At 37.9% G+C, this 20547-nt stretch overlaps 1 protein-coding gene across 29 annotated transcripts in view; it reads right to left on the bottom strand.

Annotated features, from left to right (window-relative positions):
* The window catches only part of BBX (BBX high mobility group box domain containing), a 288378-nt gene that overhangs the window by 42305 nt on the left and 225526 nt on the right, over positions 1-20547 (bottom strand). For all 29 annotated transcript variants that reach the window (XM_024453646.2, XM_011513001.3, XM_047448599.1 and 26 more), the window contains one exon: positions 13357-13437. In XM_024453646.2, the coding sequence (XP_024309414.1) occupies positions 13357-13437 (81 nt within the window). The remainder of the gene's footprint in view (positions 1-13356; positions 13438-20547) is intronic.

The raw sequence follows: 20547 nt of genomic DNA, 5'->3' as shown, positions 1-20547 counted from the left end.
CACTATGCCCGGCTCCCCCCCCCCGCCGCCCCCCACCCGTAGAGAATAGGCATCTTGCTATGTTGCCTAGGATGCTCTCCAACTCCTGGCCTCAAGCGATCCTCCTGCCTCAGCCTCCTAAAATGCTGGAAGTACAGGCATGTGCCACTGCATCTGGCTGGCTATTTCAATTTAGCAATATCTTTCTAAGATTATGTTCCTAGCCTATACTAGATGAGAAGGGGTAACTACTTGTCAGTTGATAGGAATGCTCTTTTAATGGGACCCAGAGATTAATTTTTTTTAATAGGTCACATTTCTGGCTTGTATTGGGTTTACTGTCATGTAAAATCCTGGTTTTCTATACCCACATAATATGCTGGTAAACTTGATCTCTTCTATTCTGTATTTTTATAATTTATGTTTTGCACTTAGATGTAAGACTTTCCATTTTTTCTTATTAAGTTTATCTCTTCAAAATGTGAATTATCTTCCATCTGTGTATTATACACACATTAAATAAAGCTGCTTTTCATGTCTTTGTCCAAATCTTTGGTAATAATGTTGAGCAAAACATGGCCAAGGACAGGGCCTTCTGCCAAACTTCTAGAGCCCTTTCATGAAGATGATTTGAACATTAATAAACTTCAGCAACCTAAGAATGTTTTTTCTAATCCATTTGAAATTCCTCCCATTTTGTTCACAAAACATTGTAACATCTGTCAAAAGTCTTGCTAAAATCTGGATACAGCATGCCAACAGCATTCTCTTACTCAATTTTATGACCAACCGTAACTATACCAAATAGAAAATGAGGTCGGCTTTTGTACCAGTCGGGGTCTAATTAGGGAAACGGAAGCACCTAAAGCAAAACTAGCAGCGGGAATTTAAGGCAGGGAATAGGTTAGTTACACAGGCCATGAAGAACTGAGACACCCAAACAGGAGGCGGTGACGCAACACAGGGGTTAGTGACAGCAGAAAGCCACAGAAGAAACAGATGCGGAAAGAGTGACACTGAAGCCCATGGGACAGGTCCCCAGTGGAAGATGGAAGCATGGGGCACTTATCTGGAGAGCACTGGAACATGGAAGAGAAGCTGCCTTTGCCTTACCCTGATGCCTCTTTACCAGTTCCCTCTTGACCCTAACCTGGCCTCTCCCTTTCTCCCATCTCCCAGTCTCCTGTCAGTGTCTCCCATTAGTAGAACCTACGTGGAAGCAGGGGACATAGGAGCCAAGGAAAGGCAGTCAGCAGTCACATGGGGCAGAAGGCAGTGGGCAGGGCAAAGAGACTCTGGGATGGCACATTTGACAATGACCCTTTTCAGAGAGACTTTGATAATTCCCTGTTTTCTTCTTCTTTTCTGTGGATTCAAACATGATTAGAATGATTTTCCAATTAAAATAATTTTCAAAGGTTTCTAGGAATTAATCGTCTGTATTTGAGAAATCAGGCTTATTCTTTTTAAAAATTAAAGTGAACTTTTCCCCTTTTTGTTCCTATTGAGCTCTCCTATTTCACACAACTTGTCAAAGATGATCAAAAGTGAGGTTGAAACCCAATTTGCAAGGTCTTGTGGTATCCTACAATCTGTTTTTTCTGTTGTTGGAAACCTAAATTAATATACTAAGACCATGTGTATTGTATTCTAGCTTTTCTCCTTTTTTAAATTGGATATGTACCAATGGAAGACAAGCTGCCTCTGCCTTACCCTGATGCCTCTTTACCAGTTCCCTGTTGACCCTGGCCTCTCCCTTCCTCCCATCTCCCAGTCTCCTGCCAGTGTCTCCCATTAGTAGAACCTGCATGGAAGCAGGGGGCATAGGAGCCAAGGAAAGGAAATACATATGTATTTTATACTTTAAGTTATGGGATACATATGCAGAATGTGCACAGTTGTCACATAGGTATAAACATGCCATGGTGGTCTGCTGCAACATAAACCTATCATCTACATTAGGTATTTGTCCTAATGCTCTCCCTCCCCTAGCTCCCTATCCTGCGACAGATCCCAGTGTGTGATATTCCCCTCCCTGTGTCCATGTGTTCTCATTGTTCAATTCCCACTAATAAGTGAGAACATGCAGTGTTTGGTTTTCTGTTCCTGTGTTAGGTTGCTGAGAATGGTTTCCAGCTTCATCCATGTCCTTGCAAAGGACATGAACTCATTCTTTTTTATGGCTGCATAGTATTCCATGGTGTATATGTGCCACATTTCTTTATCCAGTCTATCTTTGATGGACAATTGGGCTGGTTCCAAGTCTTTGCTATTGTGAACAGTGCTGCAATAAACATATATGTGCATGTGTCTTTATAGCAGAATGATTTATAATCCTTTGGGTATATGCCCAGTAATGGGATTGCTGGGTCAAATGGTATTTCTGGTTCTAGATCCTTGAGGAATCATATTTTAGCTTTTTCTAACTTTGATTTAATATACAATTATCTTTTTTTTTACCTATACTTTTTGGTTTGATCATAATTTTCCTTGCCCCCCACTCCCCACCAAATTATTGCTTTTTTGGCGACAAAAGCAATAATTACATAGTTTGCCTTCTCTTGTTTCTTGTTGGCTTTATCTTCTCTAATCCAGACAAAGCCAATTTCTTTATGTAGCTCTAAACAGTTAAAAATAGTCTTAAGATTTGTTTGTTTTTGCCCAAGCCCTACCTCATACTGGATTTTAGAGTAATTTTTGTCTTAACAGTCGATACCATACTTTTGTATTTTTGTATTTCTCCTTGGTTGTCATGCAAGATTTATATTCTTTTACAAATGAATTCATTAGAGTTTATGCATAATCACAATTTGAAAAAATCTTCCTCGTTCTTTTACTGAGATTGTATGTGTATATGTGTGTGGAGAGACAGACAGACATTCTCATTGACCTTGGTCCTTTTTCCATTTTAGTGCTTATTTGCATGTTCAGTCTCTTAATTTTTTTAAACTCACTCTTCCTTACGTCAAAAGTATACGTTTGACTTTTTAAAGCATTTTCCTTCTAAAGCACTCTCCTTTTAAGCATCTTCTTCTGAGCACTTTAGTTTCTTGTCTACTAATATGAAAATCATTACAAGTAAATTCCACAGTTTGTCTATTACTATGAAAATCATTACAAATAAATTCCTTAATTTTTATTTTTGATATTTGTTCCACTGCATATTAGGCATTTCCATAAGATACAAACAAAACCTGGGAACAGCTATGAATGTAGTAACATTTATAAGACGCATCACTCTTGGATGTAAGCAAATCCTTGGCCTCTCCCATCCTCCCATTCCCCAGTCTCCAGCCAGTGCCGCCTACTGGAGGAACCCAGGTGGAAGCAGGGGACACAGGAGCTGAGGAAAGGCAGTCGGCAGCCATCGGTGGTCACTGTTTTGTGTAGTCAGAAAGGTCTGACAGTGATGTACTGGAAGGCAGTTTCAAAAGGCAGGGATGGGCCAGGCGAGGTTAGCTCACACCTATAATCCCAATGCTTTGGGAGGCTGAGGCAAGAGGATCGCTTGAGGACAGGAGTTTCAGACCAGTGTGGGCAACACAGAAAGACCCTGTCTCAAGAAAAAAGAAAACACACATACACACACACACACACATACACACCCACACCCACCCCTAAACCCACACAAAAAGCAGGGATGCTGGAGCCAGAGCCAGACTGTCTAGGACTATAGACAGGCTCTGCTACTGATTAGCTATTTTCCCTAAATTTTTCTGTGCCTCAGTTTTTCAATCTATAAAATGTGTATGCTAAAATTACTGCCTTGGGAAAACTGTGAGGTTCAATGAGTTGCACATGCAACAGTACTTAAAATAGTGCCTAGTACAGAGCTAAAATAATGTAATAACCATCCCTCTGGAGCCTTATGCCATATGGAATAAATACTAACTTACCAGTAATACTCATATTAGTATCATTAATAGCATGACATGTCTTTGGTAGACTGTTTTGCTCTAAGTGTTCATTTTAGGGTTGAATGATTCTATCATTGGAGGAAAAATATTCAACAAAATGAGATTCAGGAAGACCTCAAATCAGTTGTCTTTCAAGAAGCAACTCTAAGAAACATGTAGGAAAGCTCAGTTCTACTTTGGGGTACAAGTAGATCCACTTACATCTACTTTTGGATGCACTCATCAACACTGTAGTGGGGTTTACAAATGTATGCATGGATGTGCACACAGACAAGCACACAGAAGACATAAAAGAACATAAATCAATGTGAACTCAAGTGAATAAGGCTACATTGTGGGAAACAGAATTAATGGCTGTTATTAATTTACTCAAGCTGCCCTTAATAGACTGTGAGTTATTAATCAGGCTTTGAAACAGTACATGCCTCAGTAAATGACAATTTATTCTTCTAATATTATTTTAAATTGGACAATAACCTTTTTAAAAAGTAAGAATGAAAAATCATCTGGACACTTTCCAGAGATGGAATTCCCGTGACTGCATTCAAAGAAGTTAAAATGTTAATGTTTTAAATCAAATGATGGGCATAAATATTTGATACCTATCGTCTATTCCCTCAGGTACTACTTTATTTTTTTATAACTGTAACTCAGTGGGCATAAAATGTATTCTGTTCACCTTTGTATTCTCCTGCAAGAATACCCTAGTACCTTTCAAAAAGAAGGCATTCAACAGATAATTGTGTTTAATAGGATGGTTCATTAGTTCTGAGGTAGTCTATGAGTCTAAAATGCATTCTGATTCGCACAAGGAAAGAGTTACTTTAAGCCTATAAAATACAATGCTGGCTGGGCGTGGTGGCTCACGCCTGTAATCCCCGCACTTTGGGAGGCTGAGGCAGGTGGATCACCTGAGGTCAGGAGTTCGAGACCAGCCTGACTAACACGGTGAAACCCTGTCTCTACTGGAAACACAAAATTAGCTGGGCATGGTGGCGGGCGCCTGTAATCCTAACTACTCAGGAGGCTGAGGCAGGAGAATCGCTTGAACCCAGGAGGCAGAGGTTGCAGCGAGCTGAGATCGTGCCACTGCACTCCAGCCTGGGCGACAGAGCAAGACTCCATCTCAAAAAACGGCAACAGCAGCAGCAACAAAAACAATGCTAATTATGACCATGCTACTGCTTGGTCCGGCCCAGCAATCATACTGTCCTTAGTTATACCTCCCAAGAATACCAGTGAAATTAATCACCAATATTTTAATATTACCTCTGTCAATAAAAATCGCACTGAGGTTTCTCAGTGTTTTGTGTAGTCAGAAGGATCTGACAGTGATGTGCAGGAAGAAATGGAACTCACTCCCAAAAGAAAAAGAAAAATCAGTATGTTAATACCTAGGATTCCTAAGGATGTGCATGTTAGACCATGTATAAAAAGTTATCTTCTTCAAAATGATTACAAAGAAAACAATTCAATAGAAATACTGAAGGGGTGAGATAAAATGTGTAGTAAAGGGATTATATTTTATGTTCCTGGGTTCAGGGGGACTGTCACACTTTTAGTTCAGGTAAAACCATACCTTAGGCTCAGTTTGTTACTACGGACTCGCTTTAAAGATAAAATAAACCTTGGCTGCAACAAGCTTTTATCTTTCTGAATCAGATGTATTTTAAAATGTATTCTTTTCTACTGATGTTAAGATATTCATTTTTAATTTGTTCTGCTTTAAAAGACGTAATAAAATGATCAGTGGAAAAATAACAAATTAGGTGTACTAGATAAAAAGTAAGGGAGGCTGAGGCAGGAGAGTGGCGTGAACCCGGGAGGCGGAGCTTGCAGTGAGCCGAGATCGCGCCACCGCACTCCAGCCTGGGCAACAGAGCGAGACTCTGTCTCAAAAAAAAAAAAAAAAGGTAATACCACAGAAGTACAGAAGCAGAAACCATTTAACTGGTGGAGGCTGTGTATCCCCTGTGCGAAAACCTTGGCATCAGAAGTGTCTCAGATTTTGGACTTTTTAGAATTTTGAAATACTTGCACATACATAATGACATATCTTAGGGATAGGACCCAAGTCTGAACACAAAATTCATTTATGTTTCATATACACTGTATATAAATAGTCTGAAGGTAATGTTATACACTATTTGAAATAACTGTATATGGAACAAAGTTTGTGTACACTGAACTATCAAAAAGCGACGGTGTCAGGTGTGAAATTTTCTGCTTGTGAGGTCATGGCAGAACTCAAAGTATTGGATTCTACACCATTTTGGATTTTTAATTTTCAAATTAGAGATGCTCAACCTGTCCTAAGAAATGATAAGCAGTTCCAAAATGCACCATATAATTTCTCTTTTAATTATATGTCATCTTTCATTGTCTATTATAAAGGAGTTGGCCAGATTAAAAACAAGGCAGTGTGAAAACAGACCTACTGACACCAATCAAGAAGTTTCCATTTCCAAATCTCTGCTTTTTAGTACAAAACAAATGTTTTGCAGCCAAGGTATATTTACAATCATTTTGTACTGGCTTATTATCTGCCAAAACAATGTAGACATAACCTTAGGATGGCATTTTAGCAGTGTTTTTCAGGATGTGCATTTCTCCCATAATTAAATAAAACCCGAACGCTTGTGCCAGAGAAATATACACTGGTTGATGGTTTCTGAGAATAGCATTGCTGCTAAAAAATTCAATTCCATTTATCATAAGAGATAACTGGTCACAGAACAGTGGTCTAAGCTTCTCTCAACACTAAAATCTGGGCATATTTAACAGTTCTGTAGTTTGCTGCAACAACTGGACTAGGTGAAACGGTGATTTAAATATTTTTCTTTACTCACCATTTCCTCAGAAATGGTACTGTTTCTGAAGACTCTGAATGGGGTGGAGGTGGCCTTTCCTCCATAAGCCCATCTACTAAAGTCTTCCCCCAAAGAGGTTAAGGGCAGTCAATTAGATACATTCCTCTACTTTCTGTTCCTCCAAAAATAACCTAGTGCAATTGGGGATGAGGTGAAAAGATTTAGAACAGGAGTTTTCTAAAAACAACTCACAATTTTGTATAAAATGATAAGGAAAGAAACCCACCACACGGGTCCCCTTAAATGCATTTTAAGTATTAGAATTCATTTATATGACGATAGTGTAGGAGGAGCTGAGGTGGGATGTTCTGGGCTTTAAGGGGGTTACCATAGGATGGAAGGGATAATGCACATCAATAATATGAAGACACAACAGAAATCTTAAATGGAATCATACACTGATCAAATATCACCAATAATTGGGAGCAGTGGAGGGATCTATGGTGGCTGCCTCTGTCGTCTGTGCTCTCAGGAATGCAGGTCTCTGCTTCCTAAACTCAACTATTTACTTGGCTAGCAATCTTCTCCTTTTTCCACTCTTCTATTATTGAATTTCTCTTTCCCCCACCCTCAGCATCTTTCAGCTCTTCTTTTCTACTAGCAGGGCTTACTCTTTGTTTGCAACCAGCCTTCCCGAAGCAGGGTTCCAAGGTCAAGGTCAAACAATCAGGTTCAGTGTTGGAGTCATCTTTGACTCTTCTTTTTCTTTGCCTCTCACATTGACTCACTCAAACAATTCACTTGAATACCCCTGGCATCTCTTTCTGTCTCCCGTTCCCACTGTCAGCTCTCTCAATTCCAGTTCTTATCTTCTCACACCTTAAGTCCACAGGGGCTTTCCACTCCATTCCATACATAGCTGCCAAGAAGATCTCTCTAAGTGCTGCTTTTATCACTGTGTAACACCGTCCCAAATCTTCAATGGCTCCTCATTATTTTCAAGTATATATTTATTTGCTCTGCACTAAACATTCTCCCAATTCTGACTCACAGATACACTTTACCTTCATCTTCCATAAACACAGTCCTCTATTCCTGTCAATCTGATAGACTTGTTACCATCTACCTTTCTCCTGTGCTTGCCTTAATCCCTTTGCTTTATCTCCCCCAGCTGTCCACTTAATTATGTGTAAGTCACAATCCCCACTATGTATGGCGGTCAGGTATAAAGGAGGGAAATGAGCAAATTTAAGCGGATAATGGCAATGACTGTTGGCCTCAGACTGAGGGCTCAGCAGGGAAAGGAGAGGACAGTCATTTGGAGAACAAGCATCCAAAAGGGCAACCACTAATCAACTCTGAGCAATTGTTCTCATGAAGGAAGGCTAGCTTGATGTCTCCAGGTCCTCCAAATTTTCAGAAGTCAGAAATCTATATTTATTTGAAGTTTTAATCTTCAAATATTAGCCATGAATTGAACTGTAGAATATGATATAGGTCAACAAAATATAGGCCAAACAAAGGATCTCTGTAGGTTGGATGTCACCCAGAGACTGCTAGTTTCAACTTCTAGTGGTTCCTAAGTAACTCCTTGATTGAAAACCATCATCAGTTTTTTCCCCTGTGCTTGGTCTCCAGAACATGCCTGCTAATATTTTCTCCCTTCCCTAGTTTCACACATTCATTTTTGTGTGTCACTCATCACTCAAGTGGAGTTTCATCATTTCCTTGCATGATTCCTTATTAAATCACTTGCACTCTTTATTTCTTATTCCTTAACTTGTTATATCTTATCTCTACAACTAGAGAATAAGCTCCTTGAGGACAGGAGTTGTATACCATAATTTCCTACAATCCCCACAGTATCTTCCAAAGCACATTCACAAACAAGCACTTATTTAAGGGTGTAAGATGCATCCTGGCAGTTTCAAAAGCACAGACATTTTTTAAAAAGAAAACATGAGCTCCATTTCTTTGACAGCAGTCTTGGACAATCTGTCATCTTATTCAGCCACACATACATGTGTAGGAGTAAGCTGTCTTCCATAGAGACTTTTATAATATGCACACTCCTATAACAAGCAACTTGCACAGTCTTTTATATTCATCTAAAACAAGGTGAAAGAACAGCCTGGTGTTTAAGAGTACAGGCTGTGGAGACAGTCTGCCTGGGTTCCTGTGTAGGCTCTAACACTTATTGTCCATGTGACCTTAAACAAGTTATATAACTTCTATAGCTTTTGGTTTCCTAATGTGTAAAAGAAGAATGATAGTAGCTACCTCAGAGGATAGTTGTGAGAATCAAATTAGTACATATAAAGTACTTAGTGCCTAACACACAGCAGATAATAAATGCCAGTCATTATCATCTTAGGTTAGATAGCATAACTTATCTGTAGAAAGATCTGCCATTCAAATTTGTAATGTATTTTAAAGAACATTCAAAATTGTTTCAGAAAAGTGAGAAGCAGAACAGCAATCTTTTTAGGCTTATGCTGCAGCCTCTAGTCACACTTTAAAATACTCTGTACTTGGAGGTAACATGTTCCTATATCACCGATCTTAGAAGAAGGTTTACAGGTTTTAGTTCTCATTGCACCAAAAATATGTGTATATACACATACAGGTAACTTCAGTCACCTCTGTTATTGGCACAGAATACATCCTCAATAACTACTGTGAGAATAAATGAACAAGTTGCTCTACTTGTTATATTAGACAATTTTGGTACTAGAGATCTTCAAGGGTAGAATTTTTCTTTGCTGAAATGTACACAGGTTCAGATATCTCTGACCCTCTTCAGTGTCCTCCAACTATAGCCACTATAATACACAATGATCTCCAGTGGGGATGCTTTGCTGTTCTTTATATGACCTGACCTAATTAATTTCAAAACGAAAGGAAACACAATACCTTATAGTACCTGCACAACTTAAATGAATGATAAACTGAACAGTATGAACTTCATGGAGGTCCAAACATAAAGCATTATATTTCTGCCAATTCCCTGACCTCAGACAAAACCCTTAAAAATATCTGGAACAAATCCCAGAACTTTCAGGTCACTTTCAGCTATTAAAAGTCTACCCAGTTTAAAATGCCAATCATATGCCTGAATTAGGACCTTCCCCAGGAAATCTCCTGGCTCCAGGGTCCTGGAAAACGGGAAAGGGGTCTTTACAACGCTAAAGTTGGGAGTACAGGCCAATCCAAGTATCTCTGTGCCTGCTGCCAATTTCCCCCAGTTTTTTTTGTTTGCCTGCTTACATGGGTACAGGGCACAGCAGTAAATATATGCCCCAAATATTTCTTACTTCTCACTAAGGAGAAGACATTTGTTGGAAGCAACAACCCCCATGTTTGGAAGGACTGTTCATTCACTCCTCTTACTCCAGCCCACAGGAATGGAGTTGGGGAAAGGTGAGTAGTTAGTTTGGGGCTGGTTCCTGGCCCTTCTTTCACAAGGCCTAAAACCTCTCATTTAGAGAATAGAAGACAGAATGGGGGAGGTATAACTAACTGCCCAAGGTTATGTTTTTCTTTTTTTCTTTGTTACTGTTAACTCTACACAAGACTCAATGGCATTCTCAGGGGATGTCACAGGCAGGGGTGATATTCAAAATATTTAACAGGCAGGGGTGCCACCTAATCAGAGGGGATGTGCCCTCCAGGTGCTGAAGAGTACTCGGGTGGTTGGGTTACAGGCTTTTTCCCGACAGTAGGAAGTATCTTGTTGTTTTAGTATAAGGACGGCAAACCAGTTGAGTATCACTCCTGCTTGCAGGCACACCTCAGAGGTCCCGAGCAAAGGCATCTCTACCATATTCTCCCCTGATGTGAGACTGCCCCAGGACTACCTTATGCAACCCCTCTCTGTTACTGTCCAATAGTCTCTTGCCTGATCACATGGATCTATTTTCTATTTATCCACTTGACCCTTGGGAAACTCATACATCTTTATAATGCCCAAAGTACAGCGGGCCATTCCGAGTCTCTCCATGCTGTCAACTTCCTTCAGTTTTCTTTTTTGCCTGGTCAGATAGGTAAAGGATCCAGCAATAAATTGATGTTTGAAATATTTCTTGTTTCTTGCCAAAGAAGAAGAAGAAATCTTTTGCATGTACCTCCCTCAATCTTTAACAGTGCTTCTCTTGGAGCTGCCTTCACTTCCCTTGACATGGGACATAGATAAAGAATGAGAATTAATATCTCTTCTTTCCTCCCTGAGACACAGAGAAAAGGCAAAATATTCCAGATGTGTGGACAGCCTATGATAACCCTCTACCAAAGGATGACTTGAGATTGGAGTGGGGATAAGAGGAGGAACTCCTGGAGTGGTAGATAGGATAATAAGTTGTATTAGGCTATCTCTTTAGAAATCCCGAGATGGGTGTGGCCCAAATTGGAAGTAGTTTCTTGGTGACTTTCCCTTTAGAATGTGTGAATTTAAGGTTGTGTCTTCAAATTGCAGACACCATCACCAATTCTAGGCAATAGGAAAAATCTTCAATATCTTCTTATATTTATTTATCTTAAAATGCATCAGAAATAATTAAACGTTATATTTTGTGAATGAAAAATGAATATCAAGTACACATGCAATAAAAAAATTAAGGAAGCATAAATCTGCTGGTGATTATTTGGAGATGCTGGTTAATCCATTGTGCATATACTTAAGTTTAATTAGAAACTGGGAGGTTTTAGAATGTTATTCTAAAATACACTGTATTAAGACATCACACTGATTCAGTGCAAATAACAATGCCAGAAAGTTTTCTTTTTTAGGGATTCTGTTTAATCAAAAGTATAAATCTTTGCTCAAATGTCATAAGAAACTCAGTCTTGGTATAAGCTGATTTGCTATAATTGGAATAGGCTTATTTCAGTCATTTTACCCCGTTAAATTATGATACCAACATTCAAACATCTGTTAAACCATAGCATCTGTTTCATATTTGGGATGCATCCCTACAAATTAGAAGAGTGTTCTTTTTAATGAGCTCTGATTTAATAAGGAATCCTTTTTTTATGACTGCTATGCCAAAGAAAGAAAATGACGAATCCACTTCTTTACCAGCCCCCCCATGCAGCAAAGTACCCCAAAGGTTCATACATTTTTAACAAAAAAAAACTGTTTAAAGGTAAATATCATACATTGAAAGCTGGTTTTACATTTTAGTATTGTTTAATATTTAAGAAATCATATGTATTTTCCTATATATGTGTGCCCACATACATACACATGCAATTATATAACCAGCACAAGCAGAGGGTCATACATCCATATTATTCAAGAAAAATAATCACTTCGTTCAAATAAATTTTCTTGACAATCTATATACAGTCTTAGAGTTACTAGACAAATGCATGACCTCACAGTCTGTCTGTTTACTAGGATTTGTTTACAACTCTAACTCTAAAGGCACTCTCTTGTCAGATCTTCACTGTTTCAGCTCTGTTTGGAGTAGTACTTTGCACTGACTCATGCAGTTCTTTTGAGAACTATTCCCTGCTGTCTTCATTAGTTTTCCTTAGAGTTTTCCAGTCACTTGTAGCCCTCTATTTTGGTCTCAACTTGTCTTACACAAGAAGCGTGTCATTGTAGTGTCAGACAACAATGGGGTAGTTTGTTCCATTGTTTATTAATTTTACTTTTTAAGGCCTTTGTATTTTTATATTTCTAATTTGGACTTGGTAATCTTTAAAAACCTAATTTAAAGATATTATATATTTTAAGTGCATAAGTTTTATGATACAAATTACCATAAAATTTAGCAATTTTAGAATATGATTGGTCAGCTCATTAAGTTAAATAAACTACAAAAAATTTACAAAAGAACTCAAAGGGAGCTCATTGAAAAGAAACCAGAAAAATGAGAAAATTAAAAAAAATTTAGTAAGAGATTTTTGGTTATCCACTTTCTACCTCCTAATTTATCTTACCAACAGAGAAAACTGCTACTAGAATGTCCTGGTGCTGAAAACATTTCTTCTGCATGTTTCCTTGAGGTAGGGTAGTCACAGCCTGGCAGAGAAAGCCATTGCCTTGCCCACCCTAGCAACAGATGCTTCCGGCGTCTTCCTCCCCAATCCATCCCCCACTAATAAGGTCTCTGTTCCTCACCAGCTTTATGAAAGCAAGTTTTCTACTTTGCCAATGGAAGAGTAGCATTTTACACACATCACATCAAATGTACAACTGATTGATCTTATAAAATCAGATTTTAGAACATGTCATATGAATTCTTCACCAGGAAAAAAAAAATTCAAACATCAACCATCTGATTTAAAAGCAGTGCATTCTGGAGATTTATAGACGGTTTACGGGAATCAGAAAAGGGAAAATAACCACAGATACTCTTCTGTGTTCAGGCTGGACTTACATAGCCAATCTAAGTAACCTTATTTTAAAATACTACCTGTGAAAAAAATTTTGCAATATCTCTAGGTAACCTTTAGCAATGCTTAATGACTCTTAGTAGCAAAATTCAGTTTTCCCAAATTAAAGGTTAACCCTCTCATTGTTGAAAATTAGATGTAACTCATTTTATGGTCACAGGAGAGATGGTACAGTTTAGGGAAACACTGTTAGAATATTTTGTAATTTCCACCTCTGCAGATCTTATCTCAATATATTCTTAGGAACTTGCCTCTGCCAGTTGAAAGAGTGCAGACTTTCCACAGCGTTTTACAGGCTCAGCACCACCCAACTGCGAAGTGTTTGAAGAAATCTATATTAAAGACAATCCAAATAGGGAATATTAGTTGTGATACCAGAATCTTTGCTTCTCATTCATATACATTCAGGAATTTTTCTTAGTTACGAGAGTATCATTGCTCCCATGTACCAAGTAACAAAACATGTCACATTTGGGATGATCATTTTGAGAACCATTTTTAGTAAATGACCTCAAAAATAATAACAAAAGTAGGTATGGCTGTTTAACAGTAAGAATATTATCTTGGATATTCTAGGCTTTAAATTTAACTCTGTAACCTTAAAGTGAGAAATGCATTTCAATTTCTACTTAAGTACTAACTTAATAACTAGTCAAATATAAAAGAGATTTAGAGTTATTTTGCATTTACCAAACAATTTTTTTGAAGAATATATCTGGGATCTCTGTGGAAAGACAGCATCAAGTCAGTCAACAAATTTTGTTTAGAATCCAATATATATGTGCAAGGCCATATGACAGCAGCTTAGGAATCTAAGAGTTTTATATAAAACACTGACCCTGGCTTTCAGAGTATGCTTTAATGTACATGCAAAGACTGATAATCAAGGCCACAAATCTGAGTTGTACAGTTAATGGCCTATGCTGTGTTGCAGTACATAACATATGTACAACATTAACATTGACTGCATCCTCTTCTGCAAATTTGGCTAAAAAGTGGCTGGGCATTGATAAAAATAAACAACACTGCCTTTTCTCATTTTTTAAATAAAAACTTCATTTTCCATTTCTAGCCTCAATAAGAGCTGAGAAGGACATACATTCTTAAAGACATTTACAAGCATCTTCACCTGAAGTTCTGTCATTGTTAGAGTAGATAGCTATAGTCTAAGATTTTTAGATTCTTTGTGATTCTGAATTCTTTCTCAGTTAAAAACAGAGCTATTTCTTATTTCCATTTAGTAGGTAATCCTGCTTGTGACTATATCCTTAAAGGTGACCACAGATCCCACAGGTGATTCTACGAAGTTGTTAGCTCCAGGAGGGACTGGGTGCTTCATGCTAGAAGAAATTTTCCCTAGAATACTTGCTGAATAACAGGCCTTTGTAGAAGCATGTATTTAATAATGGCCTACCTAGGCTATTAAAAAGGGCCTAGCTTAAGGAAGTTATGAGGACTCTTTCCTCCTGGGTGTTATCAGTTTTAACAGAGTGCTTTTCTATTCATCTCTATCATTTACTTTTCCTTTAGAAGATACATTTATGGGGCTCAAACTTTCTGAAGTTTGGAATATTTTCTTCTGGCCGAATTTTCACTGATAAATGCTACTTCTACCTTTTCTAGACATGCTGAATTCAATTACTCACCTTATCAGGAGACTAAGAGAAAACAAACACATTAATACCACCGGCTCTCAGTGCTTCAGGGAATGAAGGACTGAACATAAATGCCAGTGCCTTGAATCAACGCTCTATAATAGAAAGAATATGGCCTTTGTGCCACACAGGCATGCTTTCATTACTTGCTGCTGTGTGGACTTAAGCAAATAAGATTTTGAGCCTCATTTACCTTACCTTCAAAATATGAACAGTAATACCTGCCCGCAATTATGCTGTGAAGATTAGGTGTGATGCTAGTGTAGGGCAGTGCTGAAGAGATATTATGCTCTCAATAAATGGCCCAATTATTACTAATAATGATTTATCTTTAACACTTAATAAACATAAACACCTTTTTGGTACAATTCCAAAAATTACTTAAACACTGAAATTGAACAGAATTAAAAATAGCAGTGTGTGTGGATATTTATTAAATTTAGTAATTTGCAGAGCACTAAATTTGTCACATAATCCCATGACATGCTCAAGAATTACTGAAGGACCACAAGCTGCGTAGCACTGCACTTCACACCCATGCTGTTTTTCTGTTTCTTCCACTGGCTCCCTCTGCTGTTGCTTTTGTCACTGCAGGTTTTTGTTCCCCGTGTGTGTCACTCCCACATATCCTGTGCCTAATGCAGTGCATGGCACACTGAGAGGCTCATGAATGACTGACTGCATGGATGCACTACCTGCCTTTAGAGTTAAAGCAAAGCTGTCAGAGAGGAGGCTTGAGAATGCTCTCCTTAGGTTTAGTAAGAACAGTTTTCCTTATTGCCTCTGGGAGGATTTTTACCTGTTTACAGGTACAGGGAAGCATTTTAAATGCTCAAGGTTGCTGGAAGCCTGATTCCCAAAAGGGCATGTGTGGGGGGAGGTTCAACATATTTTAGTGGCCCAACATTTCCAGGATCTCCTAACAGTAACATTTTTATGGCATTACTTAGTGTGAGATACGATTTCTAAAAGTTAAATCAAAAACTTCTTAATTTGAGGGAAGGAAGGGTGGAAAACTGGGCATACGTTAATTTCCATGGCTTGGTCCTTATCTTAATTTCTTTGCAGCATTTGACAGTGCTAGTCTTTCTTTAGAAAAACTCCTTCCTGCCCTTCTGTTATTGCAGGGTCCTTGCTTTCCTCCTATGTCTCAGGCCACTCCTTGTGGTTCTTCTTTGCTGGCTCTTCTTTCCATAATAATCCCTTCAATGTTTTTCCTCAGTGTTTTGTCTTAGGACCCTCTCTCAGTAATCTCATCTATGCTGATGGCTTCAATTTCAAGCATAGCTGATATAATAATGATTTGTTATATTACTGTTCACTCCTGCCCATGCTGTTCTACCTAAGAGATATATACATCCTTTCAGATACGAACAATATAGTTAACATCTGTTTTCCAATGACTGGTCAGCTATGGAGGGAAGTGTGTGTTTGCTAGGTTGGTAGGTAGAGGGCACTAGTGGGCCATACGGCATAGGATGTTCATGGGTATGCTTCTTATTTTCCTCAAATTGGATAGGGCTTGCCAATAAGTTAATTCCACTGTAGTCTCTCTTGACTATTATGTAATGTTTGGATAAACAGTATTCATCCATAAAGTCTAGCTACAGGGTGGGTGCAACAGTACATGAGGTACAGCTAAAGTGCTAAGAAAAATGATCACCCTGGATGTTAAATTGCTAATTTTATGGCTGTCTGAGGTGGGTGAGCAAACAGGTGGTAAAGATGAGAATCAAATTAGGTAATGGTGGAAGTCTTGCAATTATGACGGTATTGTAAATATTGTAGCTTGGGAGAAAATGACTGATAATTGTTGAATGAATAAATGAGTCAAAGAACAAATAAGGCCTTCTTTACCTTACCTTTCTTATCTAAAAAGAAATATTAGTGCTTCCAATAAAACACAAAATACATCCACTGATTAGTTACAGTGTAAGTATATGGTGTTTTTAATCAACTGTAATATAGTGTAACAAACTGAGCATTCCCTCATGAAAATAAATGCATTAAATTTGTACCTATTGCTTATATCCAATGGTGACAATATTTTAATTTTGGTGAGATTATAGTTATATTTATATAGGCAAAGCAAATATCTTCTAAGGGAAGTTTTAAAGTCCAAATCTATCTAAATCACCCAGATTAGCTGTGTCTTCAAGGTAAATATAATTTTTCAATGCAAAGATATACTCTAGGTGTAAGAGTGAGCCACAGAGCAGATCAGAGAATATGTGGATTGGTCATGGCTTTTAGGCCTGTTAAATAATTAAAGACAACAGTTCCCTTCTGACATTATATCTGGTCATTAGTCTTTGGTAAACCAGACCTAAAAAGTAACTGATGTGTCACTCTACCTGTAAACAACAGAAGACACAGATAGGAAATTCATTCTGACCAACTTAATGGATCGGAGCCTGGAAACACAGAGTAGATGGCACTTTGGATGGGCCAAGCTGACTCTGGATGAAATATGAGTCTCACCTTGGAATGGGAGACAGGCTGAAATTGGGGGTGGTGAGTGAGAAACTGTCCCTGCAGTCTGTATTTCTTTTTAAATCCTGATTTTTCTTCTCTTAAATGTAAACATTTATGAGGCACCTACAAACAAATATGCTTTATTCAGTTTCATGGCTCCACATAGATTAATTTCAATGAGCTTTTCAATGATCAGATTTGGTTAAGAAGGAAAAATATCTTTCTCATCTTGCAGGGAAGAGATCCAGGACTCAATGAAAAAAAATCAAAACAAACAAAACATTTTCGACTTAAAGAAATCACCAGGGTTTACTGTTAAAAGTATGTTTCTAAGATAAATATTTTACACGATAAATGACCCATTTTCAAGAGAAAATCTAGTTAACTTTTTCCCAGTGTTAAAAGAGTTTGTAAATAAAATGAACGGAAATAGTTTCTGAGAATTTTGCACGCCTGATCTTAAAATGATACTACAAAGCTAAATACTTTTAAAGAGTAAATTGTTTCCTAGATTACATAAACACCCACTTCTCTTTAAGTGTATATAATAGGACCAGGAATCCCTCTGAAAAGAGACAGGGATATAAAGCTTTCCACTCAGTAATTTTCTTTTATACATCAATCCCTTCCTCTCTTGACCCTTCCACCGTGAAGTTCCAGAAATATTAATAAATGCCTTAACAATAATGATTTAATAATTTGGTGTTTTTTAAAAAACACATAACTATAGAGCAGTGGTCTCAAACTGTGGTTCTCTAATAGGAAACTTGTTCAAAATGCAAATTCTCAGGCCCAACACCAGATTTAATCAGTCAGAAGCTTTGGTGGCGGGGCCCAGCAATCTGTGTGTAAACAGCCTTCTAGGTGACTGTGATGTATTGTAAAGTTTGAGAACCTTTGCTTTTGACTAATTAAAACAAGAATTTCAAGAATCTTTGGATTTTCTCAAAGGTGATGGTGTTTTATGAAATAATTCTAAGAGCTTTAGGGATATCGCAGTGAGTAATTAGAGCCTATTCTATTTCTGTTGCAATACATATGCTCATAGCAGATTTTAGTAGATATTTTTCTTAGTTCATCTAGTTAGCTCTTATTTAGCCTTAAATAAAACCAGCCCAGTATTAGTCTGACAATATGGTCAGATTGTAAGATGTTAAAGATTGAAAGTTAGGGTACTGCTGGGTCAGAGGAGGAAAGTGACGAGAGAGGTTATGTATCCTTTGAGAACCATGAACTACTCTTGTATAAACACATATAACATTTACAGCTAAATAACCAAAGATACAATAATTTAACTTGCTGAGGAACTAGGGCTATTACCAATGGTTACAAAATATAACTAGGAAAAGTTATATCTTGTAGGGACTACATCTCATTCTAGGGCAAAACAGAAAATAATATATTTTTACACTATCCATTTTATTTTGGTCTTTCTGTCATACATGCCTTCCTATATTTTGAAACAACTCCTAATAAGTTTTCAAATTAATAATTTTTTAAAAGGCTCCTCAAATCCTGCATATACTTTATAGCTAAAAACCCCAAGAGTCCTCAGGAGATGAGTGCTGTAGAGCAGAGGGGCAACCTCTGGGAATGACACCCTGCATGACTCTCTCCTCCAAGTAAGAAGTTCTTTTCTTCTCTAGAAGAAAACTTAGTATAATTAAGAGGCAAGGACCAAATCTCATTCAAGAATTAGTGTACGGAGCAGCAAGGACAAATTAGTTTATGAAAGGCATGGGATCTCATCCTGCAGAATCACAGGATGGTGGCTATTACACCACCAAACCAGTCCCTTAGAGCTGTCCCCAGTGCTTCAGGAGCTCCTAATGAATCTGATGATAGTGGTGCTAAAATAACAATCATGGCCAGGCACGATGGCTCACACCTGTAATCCCAGCATTTTGGAAGGCCGAGGCGGGCGGATCACCTGAGGTCAGGAGTTCGTGACCAGCCTGGCCAACATGGCGAAATCCCGTCTCTACTAAAAATACAAAAATTAGCCGGGCGTGGTGGTGGACACCTGTAATCCCAGCTACTCAGGAGGCTGAGGCAGGAGAATCGCTTGAACCTGGGAGGTGGAGGTTGCAGTGAGCCGAGATTGCACCACTGCACTCCAGCCTAGGTAATGAGGGCGAAACTCCATCTCAAAAAAAAAAAAAAAGAGGTCATACACTGAATCATATGCTGAGCGGTGATAACGGTTAGAACCAGCATCAGCTGAGATATTCCATACTGGTATTTTAAGTTAAGCTGAATACTCTTGGTAGTCAATGGATATGTAAATATCAGGTGTGTCAAAGATGAGCCGCTACCTTTCTAATATTCCTGCTATGCAGTATAGAATTTAATCAAACAGAATACATGGCAAATCAATTGTTTTGAAAAAAATGTTTCTGAAAAGTTAGATAGAACTGGCTCAGACATCAACATTAAAAATAAATTTAGTCAATATGGCAAAATTCCTTTTTAACTCTGAAGAATCAATGGGCATCAACAACTGGAGAAAAGCAAGAAAGTATTATTAACAATTATTATCTACTTCCCCTAGACAGTGAAAATAACATTTTGCTTATTATAATGGAAAACTGTAACAAAATCTTAATTTATTCAGTTTAATTAAGCAAATTATTCTTCATGAAATAACATTATATATTTTTGTTACCAATTTTATACAATAGCCCTCAGCAGCTAAGCAAATACTATGGCAGGGAAGCCTAATACATAAGCAGGCCAACCGATGGTATAAAGTCATAGTAGTTGACACGAGTTGTCCCAAGAGGAAACAGCTTTTTTTTTTTAATGTAAGAGCCAAAAGTATTTTTTTCTCATTTTCAAAGTAAGATGCTAGGTTTTCTTCTGCCAAAAGGATATCATTTTATATTCCATTTATGCAGTATTCTTTATTCAAATGAATCAAAGTGATTCAATACATCAATATTAAACAGCACAGTCCTGCTTGTCATTTTCTCTCAACCCTATAAAAATTGTTGGTTTATGACATGCATTTTTTAGTTGGGATAAAAAGGGAAAAAAGAAAAGACCTAAAGCAGATAGCATCTTATTTTCATAAACTGTATACGTTTTATTATTTGTCATATAGTGCTCATTAGAAATGAGCATATGGTTGAGGCCAGGGCTCCTGTGGCAAAATCAAGAATATCAGATTTGTCTCTGCAGCACACCAACCAAAAAAATTACCCTCTGGTGTGTGCTCTCTTCGGCTGACAAACCAAGGAAGTCTGAGATCTTACAAAAGCTGATCTGATCTGAGCCTGGGATTAAATACTAATAAAAATACTGGCTGAAGCT

The sequence above is a fragment of the Homo sapiens genome, chromosome 3 (assembly GCF_000001405.40).
Source record: "Homo sapiens chromosome 3, GRCh38.p14 Primary Assembly".
NCBI classification, from domain to species: Eukaryota; Metazoa; Chordata; class Mammalia; order Primates; family Hominidae; genus Homo; species Homo sapiens.
Note: the sequence above shows the minus strand (reverse complement) of the source record. Positions and strands in the feature narration are given on the sequence as shown.